Here is a 26,178-nt window from a genome sequence, read left to right as displayed (position 1 = left end):
TATTCAAGAAACTATTTAAAATGGTAAACATTAATCTTAACAAATAAAAACCAATCCATCTGAGGAAGAGGTCTCTGTGAACTGAGACGTTAAAAGATCTCAAAATCTTTCCTTTGACTACAATATTAACTACTCGAGATTTATATTTTCTAGTTTGCACTCTAAATTTTAGAAAAGTGTTTTCTGCACAATTCAGGGTACAAAGTAAATACATACAAATAAAAATGCTTGAACCTATTACCTTGTGGTACAAATTAGATAGAATGTCTTTCATATTTACATAACTCTAAGATTTTTATTCCAGCATTATGCATTAGTAATGTTTGTGTCTAATTCCCATAATATTTTGTATCAACCAAACTCATTTGAGTTATAATTAGAAGATCTGGTGCTTATCTTCTAGGCTTTCATCATTGCATGTCACTTCTTTAATTCACACCAACTTTTAATATCTTATAACACAACCAAAGACTCTATAAACACATATAATAAGCACTATGCAAATGACTCAGGATAAAACAGGTTTCAGATGTGAAATTATAGCCATGCTTGGCTATACTTCCATCTAAGTGCTTCATCTGAATAGAGGTGTTCAACCCAACTGCATATATAAATCACCTAGGGTGACTTTTAAACTTACCAATGGCTGGCCCCACTATCAAATCTAATTATTGTCTATATGATAATAATTGTTTTTCAACTGAGAGCTATATTTGATTGGTTGCAAAGGCAGCACAAACACACACACACATACACACACACACACACTTCCCAGTACTTTTAGAATTGTAGAACAGGGTTAATCATAACTACTGAGTTTAAATGTTACTTATCAACATGTTAAAATGCAAATGAGTAGGGGAAAACTAAAAATAAGCTGTTTTACATATATTTTTAAAAGTCTTATAGAAATCCTTAGGAAATTAATATGAAATGGGAAAACATGAAAATCTTGTTGCTTTCTATACTCCCTCGCCTGTGGCAATGCAAACAACAGAAATCATTCTGGGACTTCAATTAGCCCATTGATGCCAGAGGTTGCAAATTTCTTTTTTGAAAAATCAGATTTTGGTGATGACTTTGAGCAGTGGGATATAAATGACTCCCACAAACTTACCGTTCCGATAATGGAACACTAGGCATAAATGGGTTAAGGAAGGTTATAATAGATTAGGTCAAGCCAACATTGTCTCTTTCCCACCTCCCTCTAAGGTATGACAACTCCAGTCCCCACCTTGCTGTCTCCAACTATAATCTCCTCTACTAAAATGTGTTTTTAGACTTACTGTTATACAGTAATTCAACTGTAAAAGACTGCAAATGCAAGCAGAGTCATTTAAAGAAGAAAGGAAAATGCTCTCACCAATTTTTAACACAGAAACAGCATTTCGAGACTTACAAAAAAGTAAAATTGAAAAATATTTCTTACAGCTAATACTTGCAGGTAATGCTATTATGCCTCTCACAAAAGCAAGAGGGATGAGGCATAGAAGGAACGTGGTTTTGAGGGCAATGAAAACAAGCAGTTACTGCAATCTGTTACAAGCTGCATTCAATTGACTAGAAGACAGGGGTTTCAGTGCCATAATTTTTACAATATTTGCTTGCCATCTGATGTTGGGAAAAATATTAATTTCTCTGCACTTCAGTTTTCATGCCTCCAAAATGTGGGTTCTCAAACTAAAGACATATTTCAAAACTTTTCAAGGTCTAAAAATTGCTGACTTTAGTGTCTGTGTGCCCTTCATAAAGGGCAAGTTTTCACAAAGTATGGTATTCTTCTAAAAGGCCTTTGAAGTAAGAAAAACCTATATTTAGAAAGCTCATTCAGTGTCCCTGGGTCTTCTCATGTCTTGCTGCTATTTATAACCAGGTATAGGCCAGTAGACAACAGCTTTGCTTTAACTAAATAAGTGCCCAGGTTTCTGAGAGTTAAAGAGAAGTTTTTCATTTTTCTAAGTGTGGAGTTGAGAAATTGTTGAAAACAGGAATTTTTTTGAACTTGTTTGCTGAATTGCCCAGTTGTTACATGGCCTGACATGGATGATTTAAAAGGTTGCATTTCTGTTTGGATATATAATTGTCACCCTGCTGCTTTATCATCGCCCTCTTACAGGGTAAACATGTTCAACTGTTTTGAGTTTGCGAGTGTGAAAGTTCCTTATGATCTGTTTTTTCTTATGAATTTCATGCCCATTTATTCCAATTTGAGTGCAGGTAGAAATATATAAAGTTCTTGAAGAACGTATTTTCATTCTCATGAATCTTGTTGATTTTATTGTAATACAGAGAACTTTACTAATTTTATAGACATTTGTACAGTAAGAACATCAAAAGAAAACAAAAACATTGATACAGTTTGGCTTTGTGTTCCCACCCAAATCACATCTTGAATTGTAATTCCATAATCCTCACGTGTTGTGGGAGGGACCCAGAGGGAGGTAACTGAATCGTGGTGTTGGTTCCCCCCATGCTGTTCTCGTGATAGTGAGTGCTCACAAGATCTGATGGTTTGAAAAGTGTCTGGCATTTCCCCTGCTTGCACTCATTCTCTCTCCTGCCACCCTGTGAAGAGGTGCCTTCCACCATGATTTTAAGTTTCCTGAGGCCTCTCCAGCAATGTGGAACTGTGACTCAGTTAAACCTCTTTCCTTCATAAATTACCCAGTCCTGGGTATGTCCTTATAGCAGCGTGAGAATGGACTAATACAAACATCATTAGAAAAAAAATCCCAAAGCCTCAAAAAAAAAAAAAAACACGAAATATTGCTGGGATTACATGGTATTAGCAAGAGAGATTAGCACCACTAGGCTAGAAGCCCACTACCATTGTAAACAGCTTTTAACTGTACTAGCTGCCTGAAGAAGGATTATCTGACTCAGGGATGACTTGTCTTTTGTTCATAATTTTAAAAATATGATCTCACACTTACAAAAACGTTGAAATGACAGTAAAAAAGACAGTAAAAATGGCTTATTTCTCAAGCCATTTGAGAGTAAGCTGTCAACACAATGCCCTGTCAACCCCAAACGCTTCCTACAAACATATCCAAATATTAACAAGAAAATCTGACAATTAGCACTGATACATTACTATAGTACTGTCTAATCCTCAGACTTCTTCAAGTTTTGTCAATTATCCCAATAATGCCCTTAATAACAAAAGGATTAGCCTAAAATCACATTTCATTGAGTTGTCCTGTCTTAGTTTCTTTTATCTGGTACATTTTCTTGGATTTCCCTTGAAATTCATAGCCTTAAAACCTTTAAAGATACAGACTAGTTATTTTGTAGGATTTAGCTGTTTGTGTTTGTCTCATGATTAGATTCAGAAGATGTGTTTTTTGGCAGGAAAATCACAGTGAAGCTCTATTCTCACCACATCCTATCAACAGACAATTTGGGCAAACTTTTAATTTGTACCCTTATTGGGATACTAATTTTACTCATTTGATTAAAAGGTGCCACCCAGTCTTCTCCACTGTAAAGTTATTTATTTCTTTTTTAACATTAATACATTTTGTGGCAAGATACTTTGTGCTTATGTAAATATCCTATTTCTCACCAAACATAATGTATTCAATTTATTTATATTGATATAAACTCATTGACCATTTTATTAAATTAACTACAACGAGTTTCTATTATTATTTATTTTGAAGCTCAGATTGTTCGAGATTTGCCCAGGGGAAATCCTTTCAATTTGGCCAATATGTCCTTTGACATCTCTCTGTCATTCTTTGATATGTTTCTTGCTTCTTGGAACAATATGTTCTAGGGTCATCTTATGCTTTCTCTGATCTGAATCAGCCATTTCTCCAGAAAGCTCTGGTTCCTTCACTAGGAGAATTGTATCTAGACACCAAGATCTGGACACTAGGTTTGCTCACTGTTATTGGGGAATAGCTGTCCCAGGCCTTTGCAATAGACTGAGCTACGGGATTTATGTGTATGTAGACATACATACATACATACATGTGAAAACACGTTCATCTACAGTTATATAGTCACACACATATATACCTTACATCTATGTTTAATTCTATATTTGCTAAATATATTGAAAACCAGCACTTTCATTCCCCCATTTTCATCCAGCACCAGAGTTCATTCTAGCTTTTGCCTATATCATACTTCAACTTCCTCCTCAGACAGTGACAAACACTGATTACCTTCATCTTTAATATTCGCACTTATTAGATCAATCTCCCTGTATTTTAACAAATTATTGTTGCTACCACTTTTCTACCCCATTATAACATTCTCCCCACCTAGCACAGACTATAACTATCTGTATTGAGTGGTTGCTGTGGCCACTTCCCCATGTAGATGTCCTTCTCCTTCCAATAACTTTCAACAGCTCACACTATGCTCCTCGGTGCAGACACCCTCCTTCTACTTCTTGGGCTTTAATAGCAAATGCCCAACCTCTGCAATACCCTGTATACCCACCCTGCCCATGGTGACAAAGGCTTACTAGGCCTCATCGAATGGCTTTTGTACTAAATTGTTTAAGAAGGGAAAGGACAAGGAAGAGGATGAGGAAAGGAAAGTGGTAAAGAATGGAGAGAAACAATATTTTTTCCTAGAGAATATTAGAAGTGGTTCTTTAGGAAGTTATAAAGACAATATGCAGTATCAGCTAAATAATTAAGCCTAGATTACATATTCTTTACATATCTGTATCTATATGCTCTGTATCTTTATACCTATGACATATGTATGCATCATTTTATAGCAATATGTGACAAAATTTATAATATTTATCTAAATATTTTAATACTTCGCAACTTAAAAAATTATATAGCACAATTCAATGATTAACAGTTCATTTCTATGAATGGATTTTCAAGTCTCCATGCCAAGAGTGCTTGGGATAGTATCTGTAGTGGTCTTTATTGGATTGTCTTCCTCTTTTGCCACTCAGGATTCATGTAATCTGCTGGTCCTCAATTGCATACCACTGGTGCTCTGCACCAGCCCATGTTTATCTGAACAAATATACCAGCTTGGTATTTCTCAAAGGGTTGTCTGTAAACCATATGCAGCAGAATCACCTGAAGACCTTGTCAAAAGGGATGTCCCCAGGCCATCTTGATTTCCTGTTCAGAATCTTTATGGGTGGAAATGGTTGTCTGGAACTCAACTCAGGTGATTCTTATGCATTAAATATTGAAGCCATGGTGTAACTCACATGTCTACAATTCCTCAGATTTCTCTGTTTAAAATACACACCTTTGCTCTATCACTTTTGCATTTGTTATTTAATAAACTTGCTCATTGCTAAACGTGTAAATACCCTCCAAAGTAAAATGTATCTATCTTTCGCAAAATGTCTCTCACCAAATGCCTCCACAAAATGAAAATGCAACTATCTTCTGAGATCTTATTTTGAGGAATCTTACAGGTCTTCCAGGTTCAGAAAATAACAAGTGCAAAGGTCCTAATGCTGGAAAAGTCTTTTAGGGAAAAACATTCTAGAGGCGAGTGTGTGAGGGGGAAAGTGGTAAATGAGTTTGGACAGTAAGGCAGAAGGAACATTGACTAAGGCCATGTAGGTCAAAGAAGGCAGTTTAATTTTTATTTTAAAAGTGATGGGAGCCAGGGTTTTGGACAGGAATGTTACCTGGTTTAAATTTCTTTGGAAGATTATTCTGGCTATTGTACTTGTTATAAACTAGAAGGACCGTGGCAAGAGGGGAAGGAGGAAGATCCTGTAAGAGACTGCCTGTTGCACTAGGTGAGGCAAGCAATGATGGCTTGCTGTAGGGTGAAGACGGTGAGAGGTAGAGGGATCCAGGACAGATTTTAAAGTTAGAGGTGGAAAGAGTTTCTTATGGACTACATGTAGAAATTGTTGGAAAGTGAAAGTTTAGGGATGAATCCCAAGCTTTTGGCTTGAGCAAATGGAGATGGAAACAACTGGAGTGAAAGTGATAGAAAAAAGTAAACTATTTCATTGTATTTGCTAATTCTGAAATGTCTATGATATATAAAGTAGAGATATTTAGTGGGAAATGGGAATTATGAATCTCAAGCCTGGGAGAGTGGTGAAGGCTAGAGGTATGAATATGGGAGTCATAGTCATCTGCCTATTGAAGCAATGGGACTAGAATAAAACTCATGTGCACAGACAGAAAACCGTAGAGGGCCAAGAATGAGTTTTAGGGCACTCTAGCAATAAACACTAAGAAATGGAGGCATCACAAAGGAGACCAGAAAGAAATGTGAAGTGAGAAAGGAAGAAAACTAGGAGAGTATGGTGTTCTAAAAGCCAGTCAAACAAAGCATCAATGTTGGAAATTATGAGAGCTTATTTTCCAAAGTTTGTTGTATTAATAACTTAAAACTTGATATTCTAACGAGAGCTTTTAGCAAACAAAAAAATAATGATTTTTTTCTACTACAAGTGATTGATTGTAACAGCATAGGAACTGGAAATGTGAAAAAGGCATCAAGAATTTAGGTAGAACATGATTTGAAACAAAAGTGTTCATTTAAGATACAAGTACACAATGTTGAGACATAATATTTTGTCTATCAACTGCAGCTACAGCATGCCGTAAGTGAAGATGAATGATTACAGTTTAATATCAATTTCAGGGGAAAATATTTGAGTCTTCATAATTTTTAAATAGATTTTAAAAATAGGCTTGAGACTTGTCATAAGTGAAACAGAATTTCATAAACGATCATAACAATTTTAGAATCAGAATAAAGTTTACATATGAAATGACTTACTTGAATTCACATGGTTCATTTTTATGGGTGAAGACTAAGACTCAGGTTTTCTGATTACTGAGTATTATTTATTACTTTAACACACTGTCTTGAATATCTTCCAACCATCTATAAGTCATCTATAAAATGACTAAAAAGGGGCTTACCAGTGATATCTTACATTTTAAAATAAAATTCTAAGTAATTAGAACTAGGAGAAATAAGACTCATGAGGATTAAATTGTAAGAACAGCTTATAAGAGGGGGAAAAAGTAAGAGATACATTTCCACATGGACAGATAGGAGATTTTAGGAGAGAAAACAATCAAAACTTTATTTATACATGTTTATATTAGCTTAATGAAACAAAGACAGCCATCATGGGACTAGCAGATAATTCTGAATATGAATTTTTGAATATGAAGACTGGTACAGATTAACATCCAATTACACTAAAGACCAGATAAGGTCTTCATTCTATTACAGCATATCAGGAATAAGGATACCTCTTGATACTTTGGTAAGTGCCGTTTTGGGAGAATGAACCTTACTACAAAGTGAACATTTATGTCAAGAAGTAGTTTAGTATATAAATTGTAGTCGTATATGAATACAACTTAGTAAATTTAGGTATGTCATGAAAGTTATGTTAGGTTACTTTGAAAAGTAAGAAATGACCAGGTTAACTAACTTTTTTTCTTTTTTTTTCAAACTTTTATTTTAGGTTCAGTGGTACATGTGCAGGTTGTTATATAGGTAAACTCATATCAAAGGGATTTGTTTCATAGATTATTTTGCCACCCAGGTACTAAGCCTAGTATCCAACAGTTATCTTTTCTGCTCCTCCCCCTCCTCCCACGCTCTACCCTCAAAAGGCCCCAGTGTCTGTTGTTCCCTTCTTTGTGTTCAGGAATTCTCATCATTTAGCTCCCACTTGTAAGTGAGAACATATGGTTAGGGGAGTGATAGCATTAGGAGATATACCTAATGTAAATGACGAGTTAATGGGTGCAGCACACCAACATGGCACATGTATACATATATAACAAACCTGCACGTTGTGCACATGTACCCTAGAACTTAAAGTATAATTAAAAAAAAGTGAGAACATATGGTATTTGATTTTCTCCTTTTGAATTAGTTTGCAAAGGATGATGGCCTCCAACTCCATCCATGTTCCTACAAAAGACATTATCTCATTCTTTTTTATGGCTACATACTATTCCATGGTGTATATGTACCACATTTTCTTTATCCAGTCTATCATTGATGGGCATTTAGGTTGATTCCATGTCTTTGCTATTGTGAATGGTGCTGCAAAGAACATTTGTATGCATGTGTCTTTATAATAGAATGATTTATATTCCTCTAGGTATATAAAACCAGTAATGTGATTGTTGGGTCTAATGGTAGTTAACTTTTCTTTTTAATGCCAGAATAACTGTTACATAAAATATCTCACTATGCCACTGTCAAAGACAAAATCCTGGGACTGTAGAGGTCCATTGCCTAACCACCTAAAGCTGCACAGTTCACTCATTAGCCACATGTGGATTTTGAACCCTTTAAATGCAGGCTAGTTTGACCCAGGTGCTGAAATTTTAATTTAATTTTATTTTATTTTATTTACATCTATTTTTTCAAAAAAACACGTGGCTAATGGATACAACGTTAGACAGCACTGAGAGCATTCCCATTATCACAGAAACTTCTATGGAACAGAGTTGATCTACAACATTTAAAAACTTTTTACATTTATTCTTCTTTGTTAAGAAAATCGACTCTTATTAACAGGTAATATTAGCAAGATGGTAGATACAAGCTCAAGCTCCAAAAACCTATTTAACTTGATTGAACTTAAATAACAATGAGAAATAAGTATGAAAAGATAAATAGAAAATGAACATAAGATATTCTTCAGAATTTTCCAGAATAGGAAATATAGTGACTATTAAACAGATGAAAAGATTTTCAACCTATTGGTAATTAGGGAAATGCAAACTAAAACTATTAGAGACTGAATTATGTTTCCCAGAAATTCATATGTTGAAGCCTGAGTCCTCAGTGTGACTGCATTTGGAGATAGGCCCTTTAAAGAAGTCATTTAGGTTAAATAAGGTCTTAAACATGAGGCTCTAATCCAATATGACTGGATTCCTTATAAGAAGAAAAAGACTCCAGGGATGCGTGCAAACAGCGAAAAAGCCATGCGATGACATAGCAGGAGGGCAGTAGTCTTCAAGTAAAGGAGAGAGGCCTCAGGAGAAACTAAACCTGCCAACACCTTTCTGGACTTCTAACCTCCAGAACTGTGTAAAAATAAAATCTGTTACTGAAGCCATAGACTCTGTGATATTTTGTTATGGCAGCCCTAGCAAACTAGCACAAAGACCAATTGAGGTTTTATACTAACTAGATTGGCTGATATAACTGGTGAGGCTGTAGAATCATAGGACTGCAACTTGACTGAGTTACTTTGAGTTTCAAAGTTGACTTGCGTAACTTTGAAAAAGATTTTGGCATTATCTTTTAAAGCTGAATATTCAAATTCCCCATGACCCAGCAGTTCTAATCGTGGTTACACATGTTAAGATAAATCTTGCACGTGTATAATAGGAGGCATTAAAATACATGCTCATAAAACATTGTTAAGAATAGATCCAAAACAACTCAAATAACATCAACAGGATAATATACACATTTTTTACATTTGTACAACATTGTATTATACAGTGATAACAATGAATAAACACTAGCTGAAACAAAATAGATATCTTAGAAACATAATAATGTTGAGTGAAAAAAAAGCAAACACAGTTACAGAAAGTATGATGCCAATTTTATAAGCCACAAAACAACCCATACTTAATAAAAAATACATAAAAATTAAATGAATGTTAATATGAAACCAAGAGCAGAGTTACACTTTTTATGACAAAAAAAGAACCAGAGAAAAGCACAAAGAAAGATTCTGCAGCGTTGATTCCAGTTCTTAGTTTTGGTGGTGTGTTTGCAAGAGTTTATTTTTATTATGTTTCATAACTTACATATAACAGATTTGCATGCATTACTTTGCATGTATCAGATACTATATAATAATGTTTTTAAAATAAAAATTTCCCGGTTACCGAAGATAACCCTTAGACATTAATTGTGGAGAAGGAGATCTAATCCAAAACCACAGATACATTTATTTATGAAAATTTTGTACTTAGAGAACTTTCAGCTAAGAAAAGAAATTCTTCCTTTCTCACATGAGAACTTTATGCTACCTAATGAAGCTCCCTACTTTGGGGCAATTTTCTGTCTTTATTTAAGTGATACTAGTCTTTTGGCTGTGTAGAAATTTTAAAAAAAATGATAGCTACATCTCCTGTTCCCAAGAGAATGCAGGAAAAGAATAAGGTGTGGGAGACAATCTTGTAGCTTATTGATAAGTACATACAAAGACAAAAATTGTGCATAGTGAATGCTCCATCTAGCAATTCAGAATTGTTATTAGAAGTATATCTGAATATCATAATTGATAAAATAATAAAATAATCAAATATGAGTAAATGTCCTCTTATTTTGAAACCAGTTTCAGTGTGCTATTTTAGATCACTAGTTCACTTTCACACCTGGGAGAGTGTGTGTGAGTGTTTTGGTTTTGTGGTAACTGGATTATGCTAAATTTTACATTTCCTTCTTTAATGAAATGGATTTTGTTCTCTCTTGGAAATGCAGCAGATAGCAACAGCAGAATATAGAGAAATAGCTGCTGCAGCTGTACTACCCATGGAAAAGTATAAATAACAATTTTAGCAGCTAGTGATTCTGAAATTGCCCTTAACTGTGTCATTATAAAAATGCTTTAACAAATATGTTTTACAGTAAGGTGACTATAGCAAAAAGCAATGTATTGTATATTTCAACATAGCTAGAAGAGAAGATTTTGAATGTTATCCCCACAAAGAAATAATAAATGCTTAAAATGATGGATATACCAATTACCCTGATTTGATCATTATACAATGTATATATGCATTAAACATCACACTATACCCCATAAATATGTACAATTACTGTTATCAGTTATAAATCTGAAGAAAAGAAAAGTTTGCAAGTAATATAGTTAAGAAATTTATCTGATGGATTTTCTCCCCAAGCACTAATCATTGAATAGTACATCTAATGAAGGTACTATGCCTAAATGTAAAGGATAAGATGTAAATTATTAAAAAGCAGTCTCAGAACTAGAAAAATTGTCAGCTATATCAGCAGACTCAGATTCAGGCTTTCATGTCACAGATACTTCTGTCACAGACCTTGGCAAATATGTGTTTTGTGTTGGTCTTATAATTGTCCTTAGAATCATGGGGACTTATTCATTAATTCAAAAAGATTTATGGCCCATATTTTATGTGTTAGTTATAGTACTGGGTTCTGAGACTACAGAAGCCAACACACAAAGCAATCCAAGGACAAACTTTTTCTCTTCATTCATCCATTATTCAGTATGTGTCTTCATTTTGAGTACTGACTAGGGATCAAGTGCTGTGCTAAATGTATATATTAATAAGTATATATTAATATAACTGCAAATGAGAAGATGAGCCACTTATTATGATGTTACTGCTGTTTTTTTCTTTTCTTTCCATAAAATGGGATGTCCTTTTGCCCCAAGTTTTGGACTTAAATTGCAAATGAAAAGAAAATTCTCAGTGGGATGCTGATGTGCATAGATAAATGAAAACAGAGCTCCCCTTTCACATGCTCCATTCACCTCCCTTTCAACTCCCTATACGTGCTCACTTTGATTGTCCCAAGACCAAGATGAGAAGTGCCCCATAGGAACCAAAACAACTTCCTTACATCATTCATTAGGACTGTTCCTCTTAAAGAACTAAATGCCATCATGACCCATAATTTTCATGACCTTCACAGAGGGTCACGGAGACAACCCACGAAAATGATTTGTTTTAAAAGAAAATACTGAAAGGGTTAATCTGCTGCTCCACAGGCCTAACCTCCTGGGATTAAACCACATGCATGGAGCTCACTAAGTGTACTTAGTAACAACAAGCTAAAAATAGAAAAAAGCATCATGCTGTTATTGTATGAGTTTCCCTCCAAGGTTTTGTCTGATAAACATCACAACCTCCAAGGGGATTGTGAACAGGTTCCTTGTAGGGTAGGTTAGATACTTATTGTTTCAGACAGTCACACCATAACCAGTTCTCAGCATACTTATTTTAAGGTAATTAAATGTTTGAGAATTAGTGTTCCTACCTGATTGGAAACCTTCTTGTCTTTAATTCATTGACTATACTAGATCTCTTTTTTCTTGGAGATGACCTTCAGATTTCTATCAGAAATCACTTCTTTGGGGAAACCAGGGCTTCTCAGAAAGTCAGGAAACTGAAATGCAGATAGCAAGAGAAAGGGAAATTATCTGTACATATAAGTTTCATTTTTAAAAATTTTAAGCAAATGTTCAAGCATCCGTCATTTGAACAGTATCATAACTTCAGGAACTTTCGTGGTTATGAGTATGAATTCTCACAACACAAACACGTGATGAGAGTATAGGTTGAATTTTGGGATTTCAAGTCAAGCAGTCTTCAAAAGAGGCCTGGTTAGCCTTTGTTAATTAATTGTGTGTGTGTGTGTGTGTGTGTGTGTGTGTGCGTGCAGCTTTTTTTGTGATGGGGTGGTGGGGAAAGAAATCTGTTGACTACTAGTCAGTGATTTAGCGGGCAAAAAAGGCAAGTTTTCTGTCTTTTCTTTAATATTCACTTTGGTTCTTCAGTCTTCATCTAGATTTCTCTTCTATCTTCACTTAGATCTTCAAAAAATTAATTTGACTAAATTTAGTTCTTCATAAACATTGGAATTTGTTGAAGGATATTTACAGAGACTTTTAATGTCTGTTCAAGCGTTGTCACACACAAAATGTTTGTGTGTGTGTGTGTGTTTGTGTTTGGCTTTTCTTGTGATGAGATGGAGGGAGAGAATAAATCTGTTGACTACTACTTAGAGATTTAGAAAGATGGACAGATTTAGAAAGATGGATATTAGGTTAAAGTGAAGCAAATTATGCAAAAAGGTTCCAACACTGTGATTCTGAAACAATAATAGCAGACTTCTGGGTGACTAAGGAGTAGTCTTCTCAAATTATACTCATACCTGTTATAGACCACCTGTTCACAAATTCTATACTATCATTCATCATTTATGGAAAACAAATGACATGATCTCTCTTTCCCTCCACTTATTGGCCATTCTCATATACCTTTTTTCTAACTTTAATGTCATACTCTTTTCTATCTGATTGAAAACATTAGAATCTAGGAGCGACAGACAATGAGCCAGCCCTCAGCATCTGTACCAGTGATGACCCTGAAAGGCACATTGGCCTATTAGGAGACTAGAAGTGATTTGGGATTGTCTTAGACTGATTTCCCTCAGAAGCAGAGCCTGAGAGAAGAATTTGAATTCAAACTGTTCCTGGAAAGTGAGCAAGGAAACTCAGGAGTAGAGCTGGAATTGAGAATAGAGGCATGAAAGAAAGCCAAGAGAGGCACAGCACTGAACAGGTTACTCTTGGGGGGAACTGTTACAAGTCCCTTAGAGGAGTCCTGTGGAACCCTGAAGAACATTCCTCAGGGTTATCCCCACCAGTGGGTGAGAAAGTCGAAGTATTTATATCCCAAATCCCCTCTGTCAGGGATTGAAAGTTTCAGCCAGATATGTTATCTCCTGCACACTTCTGGCGTGCCCTAAAGAGGTATTTGCAGGTGATAGCACAATTCTATCAGTATGCACTGAAATGCTGAGTGTAGGGGGAGATGTAGGTGGGCCTCTGACAGCATCGGATACAGTGGCAATGGGGTATTAAAGGTTATCTTGTAAGTCCAAATGGATAAACTTTAGTTCCTGGGTTGACAGTTTTCTTTTGAGGTAATTAAGTACTAATGCATTGATAACAATGTCCTCTATTAAATCAAATCAAAGGTCCTAAGTGTCTAATCTCCTGGAAAACTTTGTATCTTGGATACAGTCCTAGTTAAAAAAAAAAAAAAGGAAAAATTAAGATTTCAAGTTGACCACTCATTCATCACTCATTTAACACTCACTGAACACCTAATGTATACCAAGGATTAAGCTAGACTTCAGTGTAACCTTTATTAAAATCATTATCTTAGCATCAAGAATTTACTTTATTGGGGCATCCAGATAGTACAAATTATTACATAGTGTAATGGAAGAGAGAGCAGTCTTAATTCATTCTGTGGACCAATAATAAGTGAGAAATATTAGCAGGTCTTCCTATAGAAGGCAATACTGGAGATGGATGTGTAATGTGAAGGAGAGGTAAATTTTTGAGTCAAAGAGGAGATAAATTCACAGTAGAAAGAAAAAGAATGGTTAAGGAACAGAACAGAAAGAAATGCCATATACAACTGGTATAAAGAGTGCTTAGAGGGGTGTAAAAAAAGAAGACAACAGAGAGCATGGTAGCAGCCAGATAAAGAATGGTTTGTGTATGTATGAAAGAGTGTGGAATTTAATTGTAAGGAAGATGGAAAGCCATTGAATGATTTTTAACAGAAAAGTTCAAGTTAGAGGAAAAGAAGATAGAAAGGTTTATTTGCATAACATGATCAGATATTTGTTTGTTTTAGAAAGGTCACTTTGGAAATACTGGGGCTTGATTGTTGGAGAAGGGTAGTTGCAATCCTAGACACAGAAAGTTTAGTTAATAGTTCATTAATATAAGCCAAAGAAGAAACTGGATATGAAGTTCGTGCATGGCAGTTGTTTGCTTTCAGTACTCGAAGAATGTTATGCCAATACTTCTGACATCCATAGTTTCAGATCCGAAATCTGCTGTCATTTGAATTGGTGTTTCTCTGTAAGTAATGCATTGTTTCTCTCTATCTGCTTTTCAGACTTTTTTCCTTTCTCTTTATGTTTCAGAAGTTCAATTATGATGTGCCTCGGCATGAATATCTTTGTGTCTACCCTATTTGAGTTTTGCTTAGGTTCTTAAATCTGTACGTTTATGTCTTTTGCCATTTTGGGGAACTGCTCTGTCATTATTTCTTCAGATAATTTTTCCATCTCACTGGCTGGCTGTTTTCATTCTGGGAGTTTGATGATATGGATGTTAGCTTTTTATTTTTCGTTCCACAGGTTCCTGAGTTCCTACCCACTTCTTCACTAAGCCTATGTTTTCCTCTCTGTTTTTCAAGTTTGATAAATTCTATTTATCTATTTGGTAAATTCTATTTATCTGTTCTTGAGGTCACTGATCCTATGCTTTGTCATCTCCACTCTACTCTTGAGCCTGCCCAACAAAGGTTTTTATTTTGGTTGTTGTATTTGTCAGCTCTATCATTTTCACTTGGTTTTTATTTTATAACATCTATTTTGTTGCTTATACTTTCTATTTTTTCATTTATTTTAAGAAATACATAATTGCTTTTTGAAACATTTATGTGATATCTTATTTAAAATCCCTGTCACATAATTTCAACAACTGATTTATCTCAGTTTTAGTGTGTGCTGACTATAATTTTTTTTCATTTATTTTGTGATTACCTGGTTCTTGGTATAATTGGTAGTTTTCAATTGTATTGTGAACATTATGAGTAGTATATGACTCTGGATCTTATTTTAACTTATTATTTTTAGAAGGAAGCTCCCCTATATTGGGGTGTAGCAAGAAAGCTACAAGGGTGGGAATGTACAGGTTCCACTGGGCCTTGCTGACACCATACTGGCAACAGAGGGACGCTGACTCACATGGCCTTACTGCAGACAGATGAGGTAGAAGTTTAGCTCCGCCTTTGGCCTTGCTGACACCTTCCCAAGGAGAATGGGACCACTCATACCATGTTGTTGCCTTCAAATGGGAATGGAGGCTCAGCACTCTAACAGACCCCCTGAACCAAGGCAGAGGGAAATGAAGTGTCAACTCTCTTTCTTTACACTACCTTAATTCTATCCTATTGGTGTTAGGTGTGTGTAGAGGCTTAGTTCCTCACTGGTCTCCCCTGACCCCAGGTTTTGAAGGAAAGTACAGTGCCTCCTATACCCAACTTGCAACATCCTGTTGCTGATGGCAAGTAGAGGCGGGGGCTTAGCTCCCCACTGGACCCCATGGCTGTGTGCAGGGAGTCCATTTGTAATTAGCTCTGTCTGGCATGATCTCCTTAAGTCTCCTTCCTGACGGGTGGGGTGGAGGCTCAGCTCTCCATTGAACCACACTGCAACAACTCTGGTGGGGGAACCACAGTGCTGCCTGCTTGTGAAGGGCAAGAGTAGGGTGGTATGCACGATCAACTCCTTACCTGGTCCCTCTGAAACAAAAGTCATGGATCATGTCTGTAACCATGACCTATGGTTTCATTAGGGTTTTACTGGAGAGGTGTACATACTGCCAGAAAGGTTTTCTGTTGTTAGAAATCTCTTTTCTCATACTTTGGCTAAGAAGCACAGAGTTTTCTTGGAGCTTTTTTTGTCTGTGTCTGTTGGTGGTTATGGAATGGAGGCTCCTGTGGTGCCCTGTCTGAGCTATGTGGGAGGCAAAAAGAAAACAGGGAACTCATTGCCAGGTCATTTCTTAAGTCCCGAAGTAAGTCTGCCTTCCAGTTTTCACTATTTGGTGCCTCCTATGCTTATTTATTGTATTCATTTCATAGTTTTAGTGGAAAGTGAAAATACCTGGGAGAAATGCAGCCACTCCATCTTATCAGAACCAGAATTGCGGTGGTCTATTAATGTTAAAAAGTGCTGCTGGCTATAAATTGAAGTTTGACTATATACACCATGCCCTTTAGGAATTATTCTGCTAGACAAATGGCTTCCTAAGGGTTCACAAGGTTATTACGATTTGATTTTCACACTTGCAGAAGTCAAGTGTTCTGTTGAAGGTGAAATTTGTAGATAAGGAAGGCTAGACTGATTCATGAGGTAGTAGATTAGGGTTGGAGACATTAATATAAACTCATCCTTAGCTTGATGTACATATGCATAGCAACATACATAAAAAATTATAGATATGTGTATACACATTGTTAGTATACATACACATATCTCTTCACTCAGTCAGCTAAGACAACCTAGAAACAATGAAACCCCAGTAACAATGAGCAAATATAGCACCCAGATCTTGGTGCTAATACCACTCCCCAGTAAAGGAACTAGAGCTTCCTGGAGAAAGGACCAATTCTAGAACCAGGGCAAGAAATATAAAAGATGGAAGTAGACCATCTGGTAGTGTGAGAAATTAAGGAAGTGATTTTTAAAAACCCACAATTATTGAGCCTGGGAACAATTGAAAGAGTTCATAATGGTTAAGATGGAACAATTTGAGCAACAAAATAAAGTGGTATATAATCCCAAGTATAAAATTAATGTCCACAGATTCTTACTGGCGTAAACAAGGGATTAAATTAATAAATGGCTGGGGGATAGATAAGTCTCCAGTGCAGAAAACTTCCAAATAGCTTCTGTAGCTATTCAAACCAAAGAAGGCGGAGTATAACTCTCTGCTTCTTATTGTTGGCTGAGCGTAGTGATTTCCTTCCAGAGTATAATACAGAAAGAGAAAGAAAGAGTGAAGAAACCTGATGATGACGACTATCTCAGCCAGGTGATCAAGGTTGACATCAGCAGTGATAAGTCATCTTGACAAAATGGCCCTTTATCTCTGTGGTCTTCCTCAAAAGCACACTCCCAATCTTGAGAAAAGCATAAGACACATTTTAGCAGTGGGGCATCGTACAAAATACCTGTCCAGTATTATCCAAAATTGTCAAGGTCTTCAAAAATAAGGAAAGTATGAGAAATTGTCACAACTAAGGGGATCCTAAGAAAACATGACAACTAAATGTAATACAGTATCCTGATGGAATCTTGGAACACAAATGTGACATGATAAGGTAAAAATATAGGAACCATGATCAAAGTATGAACTTCAGTTAATGATAATATATTAATATTTGTTCACTAATTGAAACAAATGTAACATACTAATATAAGTTGTTAATAATAGAGAAAAATGGGTATAGTATGTATGAGAAATCTCTATAATATACTTTCAAATTTTCTGAATTAAAACTGTTTTAAAATATAAAGTCTATTTAAAAAGTCAAGTGTTTTCTTGTTTTATGGTTGTGTTTCTGCAGTCCCCAATAAATATTTGAGTTTGCTTTACCTTACTGATATTGATGTTGAAGAAAAAAACTAAATAATTCTAAAATGGTTGGTAATTCCAATTCAATAAGCAATAATTCCTGGTAACATGTTTTTGGAAGAACTCACTGAATAAATCAAAGCAAACTGTCTTTAAATGCTAAATGTCTTTTCGGTGTTTAATCTTCTTTAAGATTATTGTTTGCCACGGGCATGATTCCACTTCAGAGGGCAGTGATTATCATAAACATTGGTTGTAGGCAATGTCTAATGTACGCTGAAATATTAATGTAAGATGCTGTAATAACTTTAGCTAAAGTATTTTATGTTTTCAGAATGATGTATTGTTATTTCTGCCTATAAAGCCTTTTTAAAATACATTTTCTACCCACCTTTTCCAAAACAGAAAACTCACAAGGAAAAGATACTACAGGATAGTATGCTCATCAATTTGAATTGGAGGCTCACTTTGCTGGCACTCGTGGTTGCCAATGATACTGGCATTTGTATTACTTTTACAGATCCCTTCCTTGGCAAAATCTAATCTCCACAGGGGAAATCTTTGAAACAGCAGGTACCTAAAAGCTACAGAACATATAGCTTTGTAGCTAGATTTATGAAACATTTTACCCAGAAGTATAATATAATGTAAAAAAGGCTATTTTTCTCTTTGCCTTCTGCTACTCAGAGATCACTCACCATCTTACTTTTTAACAGCCAACAAAGACATGTTTCATAAATTAGACTATGAATTTGTAGCTCAACTTTGTATCTTAATATGACTAATTCCATATGATTTTTGTTGGTACCAAATATGTAAATCAACAGGAAATTTTGTGCTTAGCTCTTAAAAATAATTACTATAACTTACTCAATACATTTTTACACGTTTCCTTTGTGTTTCTCAAAACAGCAGTTCTCCTAAGGTGGGCTTTCAGCACATAAGTGAGTTGATCATTTTTTTCCATGGACAGTTTTCTCATCTCTTTTACCATATCAATTTGTTCTACTTTCTTGAAAAGTAGAACTTATTAAATAATTAAATCTTTATCGAACACTGGTGTAAGGCAAACACAAAAGGCAGGCAACTGATCTGTTGGTTTTGGGGTTTTCTTTTGAGTAATGAGGTCAATTAAAATCTCTCCAGATAACAGGTGTTACCCTATGTAGTGGAAATTGTATTTCCTTATGGAAACTCACAGTCAGGAAAATGAAGACCTAAATAATAACAGAAAAGTGATAACATTACTAACAATGCCGTGAGTGCCTGCTTTGTATCTGGTCCTGTAAAAGAAACTATAAACATTATACTGGCAATCCTCATAAAAAAAAACCCTAATTACTTTAGGGTTGTGTATGTAGGTACAAGAGAAAGAGGGAGAGAGAAACTTCAATAAAGGGCTACTGAGAAATAGCAAGAGCACTGCCAGGTATCCTTAATAAATAATTTAGGAGCTTCTAACTATGCAAATAATTATTTGTCATATGGGTGAATATTAAGGATCTTTCAGGTTTAGACTAAGAAGACAAAAGGCTTCCAGAAGTTGAGTCCAAATTTTACACTTATATAAAATCCTTATAACAGAAGACCAAATTATAATTCAATAACTGAAGAGTTTTTAAAATAGTGGATGTGTTCATATCAGCATGGCTTCATCATGTGGATAAGAGACAAGAAATTGGCAGATGCAACCTGCAGATTCATTACTGTTCCTGTGAAGGGCAGGATAATGAATAAAAATGAAAATAATGAAAAATAATGACTAGAATTTTAGGCAGTTTGCTTAATCTCTATTCCAGGAAAAATACAGCAAAAAAGAAAAAAAATCTTGAAATTTTTTCTAAAAACAATTATAAGTGACATTTCTTATTTTTCTGCCAAATAATGTGGAAGTATAATCAGTCAAATAAGTCTGATCTTTTCTGGTAAAATAATTATTTATTTGAAAATGTAAGACGTAATAATCAGAGAGTCTTTAAAAAGGGGCCAAAAAAATCTCCTTTAACATTCTTCTTAAAGAACAAAATTATAAAAAAGAACCATACTAAAAATATTTTAAAACAAAAGTAAAAATTCCCATTACTGTTGCAGAGCTTTTAAATTTTTATTTTTGTTTGATTTTTAATAAATAGTCATGTTTACATAGTTGTCACAAGGCTGACAAATTTGAAATCAGCTCTCTTCAGTAAGCATTATTCTATTTTGCTAGATAGTCTCATAATTATAATTTTAATGACTGTAATTTTCTACTAATTGGATATAATTTGCTTTACTCAATCATTTTCTTATTGTTGAAATTAAATGTGTTTCCATTTTTTTTGTTATTACACATGACAGGACAATGAACACCTTTATATAATGATTTTCTAAATATAAATTATTTTAGTAAATTTCCAGAATTAAAATTAATGAGTAAAAAGCTATGACCACTTTTATCTTACTAGACATTGCCAAATTACTTTTCAAGTTGTTGAACCAAATTAGATGAAGTACATTACCAAAATAAGATATTGTGATATGTGATTACTGATTTTGATAAATTAATCAACTGGACCCTCATGTTCCATTTCTTTAAATTTTTTGATAACTATTAAAGTTGAACATCACATATATATTTAAAATACTAATTGTATTTTCTCTTAATTGTCTTCTCTCACTCTTTTCTGCCTCTTCATAACTTATTCCTAGGTAGCTGGAGAAAAATCACGTGACAGGGCACATCTGTATTCCAATAAATTAATAAACACCAACCACAAATGGGCTTCCAAGACTGGGAATACTGCTCTGACTAACCAGTAAATTCTTTCTCATTCTACTTAAGGGCCATTCTTTTTTTTCTTTTTTCTTTTTTTTTAAATAAGGCTTCCCCACTTTCCTCAAATTCCCATCTTTCTTCTTTACTTCCTTCTCTCAGCTGATGTGTTGCTTTATATCTCATTAAGAAAATAGAAGCCAGTAAATGGCCCACTGTCAAATCCATTTATCCATTAGCATCTTCAGTGATCTTCGTATTCCCTTTTTGTTAGAGTTAATGTGAAAGGCCATTCACACTGTATGTAGTGGTTATTCCATTTTCTCTCATCTGATCAAGAACTTCACAGCACTGAGTCTTCCACAGCCGACCTACTCCTTATAGATTATTCCATAAAAATTCAAACATATTCTAGACCACTAACTCCTATTTAAAATAGTAAAAAGTATATATGCAACATGAAACCTTCCTTGGTCATCCAATATCTTCTTTGTCTCATTCACATCTGTCCTTCTCAAAATTGTTATCTTTATAGATTTTTTTTCCACACCTCATGTCCTATTTACTCAATAGTTTACTTTCTTCTGGCTTCCCTCACTCCAACACCTTTGTCCACTGCTCTGAAATTTCACTTATGAAGGACACCGGTGATCTCCATTTCACCACAGCCAATGGAGAGTTTTTGTCTTTTTATTTCTAGACTCTTTCCTTCTTTTAAAAATAAAGTAAAACAAAAGACAAAAATACTGTTATGCTTTTATACCCTCATAATCTTCTACCTTGGTATATTTTACCACCCCACCTTTAATCTGATTTCTAAATATTTTGTTAGTTCCATTTACATTCAGTGGAATATACAACTGTATGAAGGATTATTCTCCACATTTAATTCTCATAATAATAATACTAGTAACAGTAGTCAAGACTTCTATATTGTTTGGCAGATGCAAGACACTATTCTAAGAGCTTTATTAATGTGATTATTCTTATAAACTTATACATCTTGTATAATTCCCACACTACAAATGAGAAAACTGAGGCATTGAAAGGTTAATTATAATTTATGCAAGATCAGATGACCACTAATTGATGATGCCTCTTGCCAAGTTAATGCTGAAATTTTAGAGTAAGGAAGTTAAATAATGTCTCACAGATTGGCCTTAGAGTCAGCAAAATTTAATTAATTACATGGATAGAACCAGAAAGTAGAGAAAAATTTTGTATTGCATGTGAATTACTAAGTGATGTTAGTAACGATGTATGATTGATTTTAATTGAATGAAGATTTTTTCCTTGTTACATTATTCTTTCAAAAGAGAAATATTTTTTTCATAGTGTCTCTCATTTTTTTTTCATTCCTTCACATATTCATTCATTAATTCAACACTCATTTCCTGAGCATCTACCAGATACCAGTCTCTGTTGAAAGCCTTGGAAGATTTGGTGGTGAATGAACACAAAGTCCTTGCTCTTAAGCAAATGCCCTAGTTGTTGGGAGTGGGGTGGGGGAGGGTGGTAGAGTACATAAGTAAACAAATTGACAAGTGAAACTGGTTAATGGGATAGACAGACACAGAGCAGGCTGGTCTCTCTGGCCAAGGTAGTAGAGTTGGCATCTGAAATGACACTGAAATGATTAGAGGGAAACTGATCTAAGCAGAAGGATCAGTAAATGCAAAGCCACGTGATAGCTACAAGCTTGCTGCATCCCAGGACTTGAAAAAGGCAAACATGCCTGGAACCCATGAAGGTCTGGAAGAGATACTGAAGGGGGCCAGAGCACTTGAGGCCTATAAGTCTTATTAAGTGGTTTATGTTTTAGTGTCTTTGCACTAGATAACCATTAGAAGTTTTAAGCAGGACAAATGTATCATATGCTTTGTGGTTTTAAAGAGATTACTTTGACTGTTGAGTCTCCTATAAAAATAAAATAGCTGTGACTCTATGAAGTGTGGGCTTAATGATAACAAATTTTTTAAGAGCCCAAGAAGCTAAAAAATGACTAGTTCACTGATGATTACCATTAGTCCCAACTAGACTATATTAATATAAGCTTGGTGACCCTGGGATCCTGAGACATATTTTGTTAGGAAAACTCAACTATTTTCAAACTAGCATGATTTCAACAATTGCTAATATTTTTTGGGGTTTCAGAACTATTATTTTATTAACTGGAGGCTCGATAAGAGGTTTTATGTAGAAAAAGGGTAGATAGTTGGCTTCTGTCTATTCTCCCTTTCAGTGGGAGAAGTGATGGTTAAGGGTGATTACTCTGCTGTTGGTGCATTGCCTAAGTTTTAGAACTAATTCAAGCCAGTAAATATTTGCTGAAGAACTATTATATGTTAGAAGGGAGCTGAGAATGGGGATACAAAGAGGATAATTAATAATAGAGCAGCTATTACTAACAAGAGGCAGGTACTGTGCAATGCTTAACGTGCATTATCCCATGTTACATGAATTTACACATTAACCCTGTGAGGTAGGTGTATTTATTATCCTCTTTTCCTGAGAAAACAGATGCTTTTCAAAACATTAAGTGATTTATCTAAGGTTACATAGCTAGTCAGAGATGGAAGCAGTATTTGGACTCAGAAAGTTTGACATCAGTACCAACCACTGTGCTCTACTGACTACAATGGCCCTACTTGAGAAGTTCAAAATCATACATACGTGGGTACAACTGACCCTAAGACTGCCTGGCACAAACTTTGTGGGACAGGCTAGATTTATGTGAGATGTACTTGAAGTGGAGAAGATTGTGACAGAGAGTCACTAAAATATGCTTCCTGTACTAGGAGAAAAAAAAAAACAAAAAAACTTGGCCTAGCCTAGAGCAGTGGGGTAGGCTAATTACATGATGTTGAGGAGGAAGAAGGAGCATTTCTGTCTTTTTTCTTGTCTTATAATTGATTAAATTATATCTGTGTCACGATATCAGAAACAAATTACAGTATAATGGACAGTTTTTGAACCCATCTTAGCTTGTATCCTGGTATATGTAGAGTGTTAGACCAACAGTGGCACCTATATGTAGTTAAATACATTTTAATTTATCTTTAGCCTGAAAGGAAAATAGTTTCTTATATGTATAATTTGGGAGTGTCTTCAGAAAAAATACTTAAAGCCCCCTATCTCAGAGGAAGGCAAATTCGCAAAAGATCTACCAGCAGATGCAAGTCCAAACACACTAATCATTTAGTGAGATTTGTACTGATATACCACGTCTCATGTTGTTTATTTATGGATTTTTCTGGAAGAAGGCTCATAGAGCTCATATATTCTCAAAGAGGTAAAGACCCATGCTGATAAGGTAGAAAGATCTTTGCTCTGGAATTAAATCAGTTTAGGTTTTGCAGCTTACTAGAATTAGGTAACATTCTTAATCTTCCTGAGCCTGGTTTCTATCTACCAATAGAGATAACACTAACACAGAGGGATGTGGTTAAATTAAATGACTCAGATAAAATGTTATGTATCTTTTCAGGCTATCCTGTTAGGACATGCCCAGTAAATGTTAAGCCATCAGCAAATACTCTGCTTCCTTGACATGAATGAAGCCCATTCTCATGTTCTTCATGGTTTTCCTCGGCCATTGGTCTAAATATCAAGGCCATAGTTAAAAATTATCCCTGTCCCTTCACAGTCCATCTGCTTCCCCAAAGTATTCTCCTTGATGAATTGAGTCCCAATATTAGTAATATTCATCACTTTAGTTATTAATGTTCATATGTTTAAGATATTTTAATGTAAGGTAAATCATTACTCAAGAGAATAGCTAAGCTGGCTTTGTCAAAGATTTCAATGAGCTACCAGTACATCTTAATCAGAATTAACTTTCAAAGACAGGGAGAGCAATGATTCAAGGTGTGAATAGAAAAACGTTTTCTTTTTGTACAAAATGTTACTGTCATTTGTTCTGGTGGGGAAAAAGCTTAGAGTTAACCTAATTTACATTTTATGATTAGTTTAAAGAAAGTGTTATATAAATTTAGAATGAAAATAAATCAGTTTTCTTTAAACAGAAATGCAGATTTAAAAATGTCTTTTTATGCAACTGCCAGAAGGAAGCACTGTTTTGTCTGCAAATTCCCAGATTCTGCTCTAGTTTTAAAGGCTAACGACTGTGAAATGCAAATATAATCAGGGTTCCAGATGTGGCAATCAGGAAATGATTTGTGTACCAGCTATTTTTAACAAAAGGCTTGCAAACATGATAAATGAATAGTGAAAGTCAAAATGATATCAAATATGCATGAAAGTAGCATATATATAATTATAAATTACCTTTAGGAATTAATTATAACATTACTTCAGAGAGATTCGTATGATTTATTCCTATGGAGAATGTAGAGTCAGATGATCTAGGTTATCACTTTGGGACTAGGATATCACCAAAAATCTTTATGTTACAACATATGTGATAGAAATGAACACAATTTTACAGGAAGAACTAATCAGATGAATTCAGATTTCATTTGTACTTTGGTATAAATAGATCAAACTGGGTTTTCTCAACTAGATGTATAATAACTACAGATAAAAAGAACTATGCTGGTTTGCCAGAATGTAAAACACTGGCGAAAGTGAGGGGGCTGTATCAATGAGCTCGGGAAAGCAGCTCCATAGCCTCTATCTCCATCACACAGACATTTAGTTCAGATTTGAAAGAGAACTTGAGATCAGTCATTTCAACACATCTCCAAACCAGTTATGTTCAAACATGAAGGGATGGATAGATATCAGTCTATTATTTTTAAACTGCATAAAGGTATAACTCTTCAGTTTTCATCAAAACCACACTTTTTAGGTTATCAGGGTCCACAGTTCTTAAGCAAGCAATGCATGCTTAGTGCTATCTCCCTGCTATAAATAGCTTCTCAGTCTTCCCACCACTGCCCATCCCTTCTCTCCTTAATGTCTTGGTCAAAACCATCCCCCAGGAACCCCTTTCCACTTAATTGCTGATCATGTTGATGTTTTGATCACCTTAGCTACTTCCTAGAGTCGGTAGTATATATGTGAGATTTAACTTTAAAAATACCCATAAAGGGCTGGGCACGGTGGCTTATGCCTGTAATCCTAGCACTTTGGGAGGCCGAGGCGGGTGGATCACCTGAGGTCAGGAGTTTGAGACCACCCTGGCCAACATGGTGAAACCCTGTCTCTACTAAAAATACAAACATTAGCCAGGCGTTGTGGCGCATGCCTGTTATTCCAGCTACTCGGGAGGCTGAGGCAGGAGAATCGCTGGAACCCAGGAGGCGGAGGTTGCAGTGAGCCGAGATGGCGCCATTGCACTGTAGCCTGGGCAACAGAGCAAGGCTCCGTCTCAAAACAAACAAACAAACAAACAAACCCATAATGTATTAAATGCACAGTTTCTAACATAATATGAATATCCAGTAACTGCTGACTAGCATTATTATTATAACATTTACATTAAAACTAATCTGCACTGGTTTAAGTATCGCTTAATGATTGATTCTGTTTCTTTCACACACCTGTTCTTTTACTCCAC

The 26,178-nt window shown here is 35.2% G+C and overlaps 1 protein-coding gene and 1 long non-coding RNA gene across 6 annotated transcripts in view; one reads left to right on the top strand and one right to left on the bottom strand.

The window, feature by feature from the left end:
• LOC105375911 (uncharacterized) overlaps positions 1–26,178 on the top strand; it is a 268,808-nt gene that overhangs the window by 81,049 nt on the left and 161,581 nt on the right. The window lies entirely within an intron of this gene.
• The window catches only part of PKIA (cAMP-dependent protein kinase inhibitor alpha), an 88,928-nt gene that overhangs the window by 20,337 nt on the left and 42,413 nt on the right, over positions 1–26,178 (bottom strand). For 2 of the 5 annotated variants that reach the window (XM_017013620.1, XM_047421953.1), the window contains exons 2-3: positions 17,337–17,450; positions 11,992–12,120 (exon numbers count right to left, since the gene is read on the bottom strand). The exons of 1 other annotated variant lie outside the window; for it this stretch is intronic. The gene's annotated coding sequence lies outside the window, so the exon portion shown is untranslated. The remainder of the gene's footprint in view (positions 1–11,991; positions 12,121–17,336; positions 17,451–26,178) is intronic. 2 more of the 5 variants (NM_006823.4, XM_017013621.2) reach the window with 1 other exon arrangement.

Source organism: Homo sapiens, chromosome 8 (genome assembly GCF_000001405.40).
Source record: "Homo sapiens chromosome 8, GRCh38.p14 Primary Assembly".
NCBI classification, from domain to species: domain Eukaryota; kingdom Metazoa; phylum Chordata; class Mammalia; order Primates; family Hominidae; genus Homo; species Homo sapiens.
This window is presented reverse-complemented; position numbering and strand designations above follow the sequence as displayed.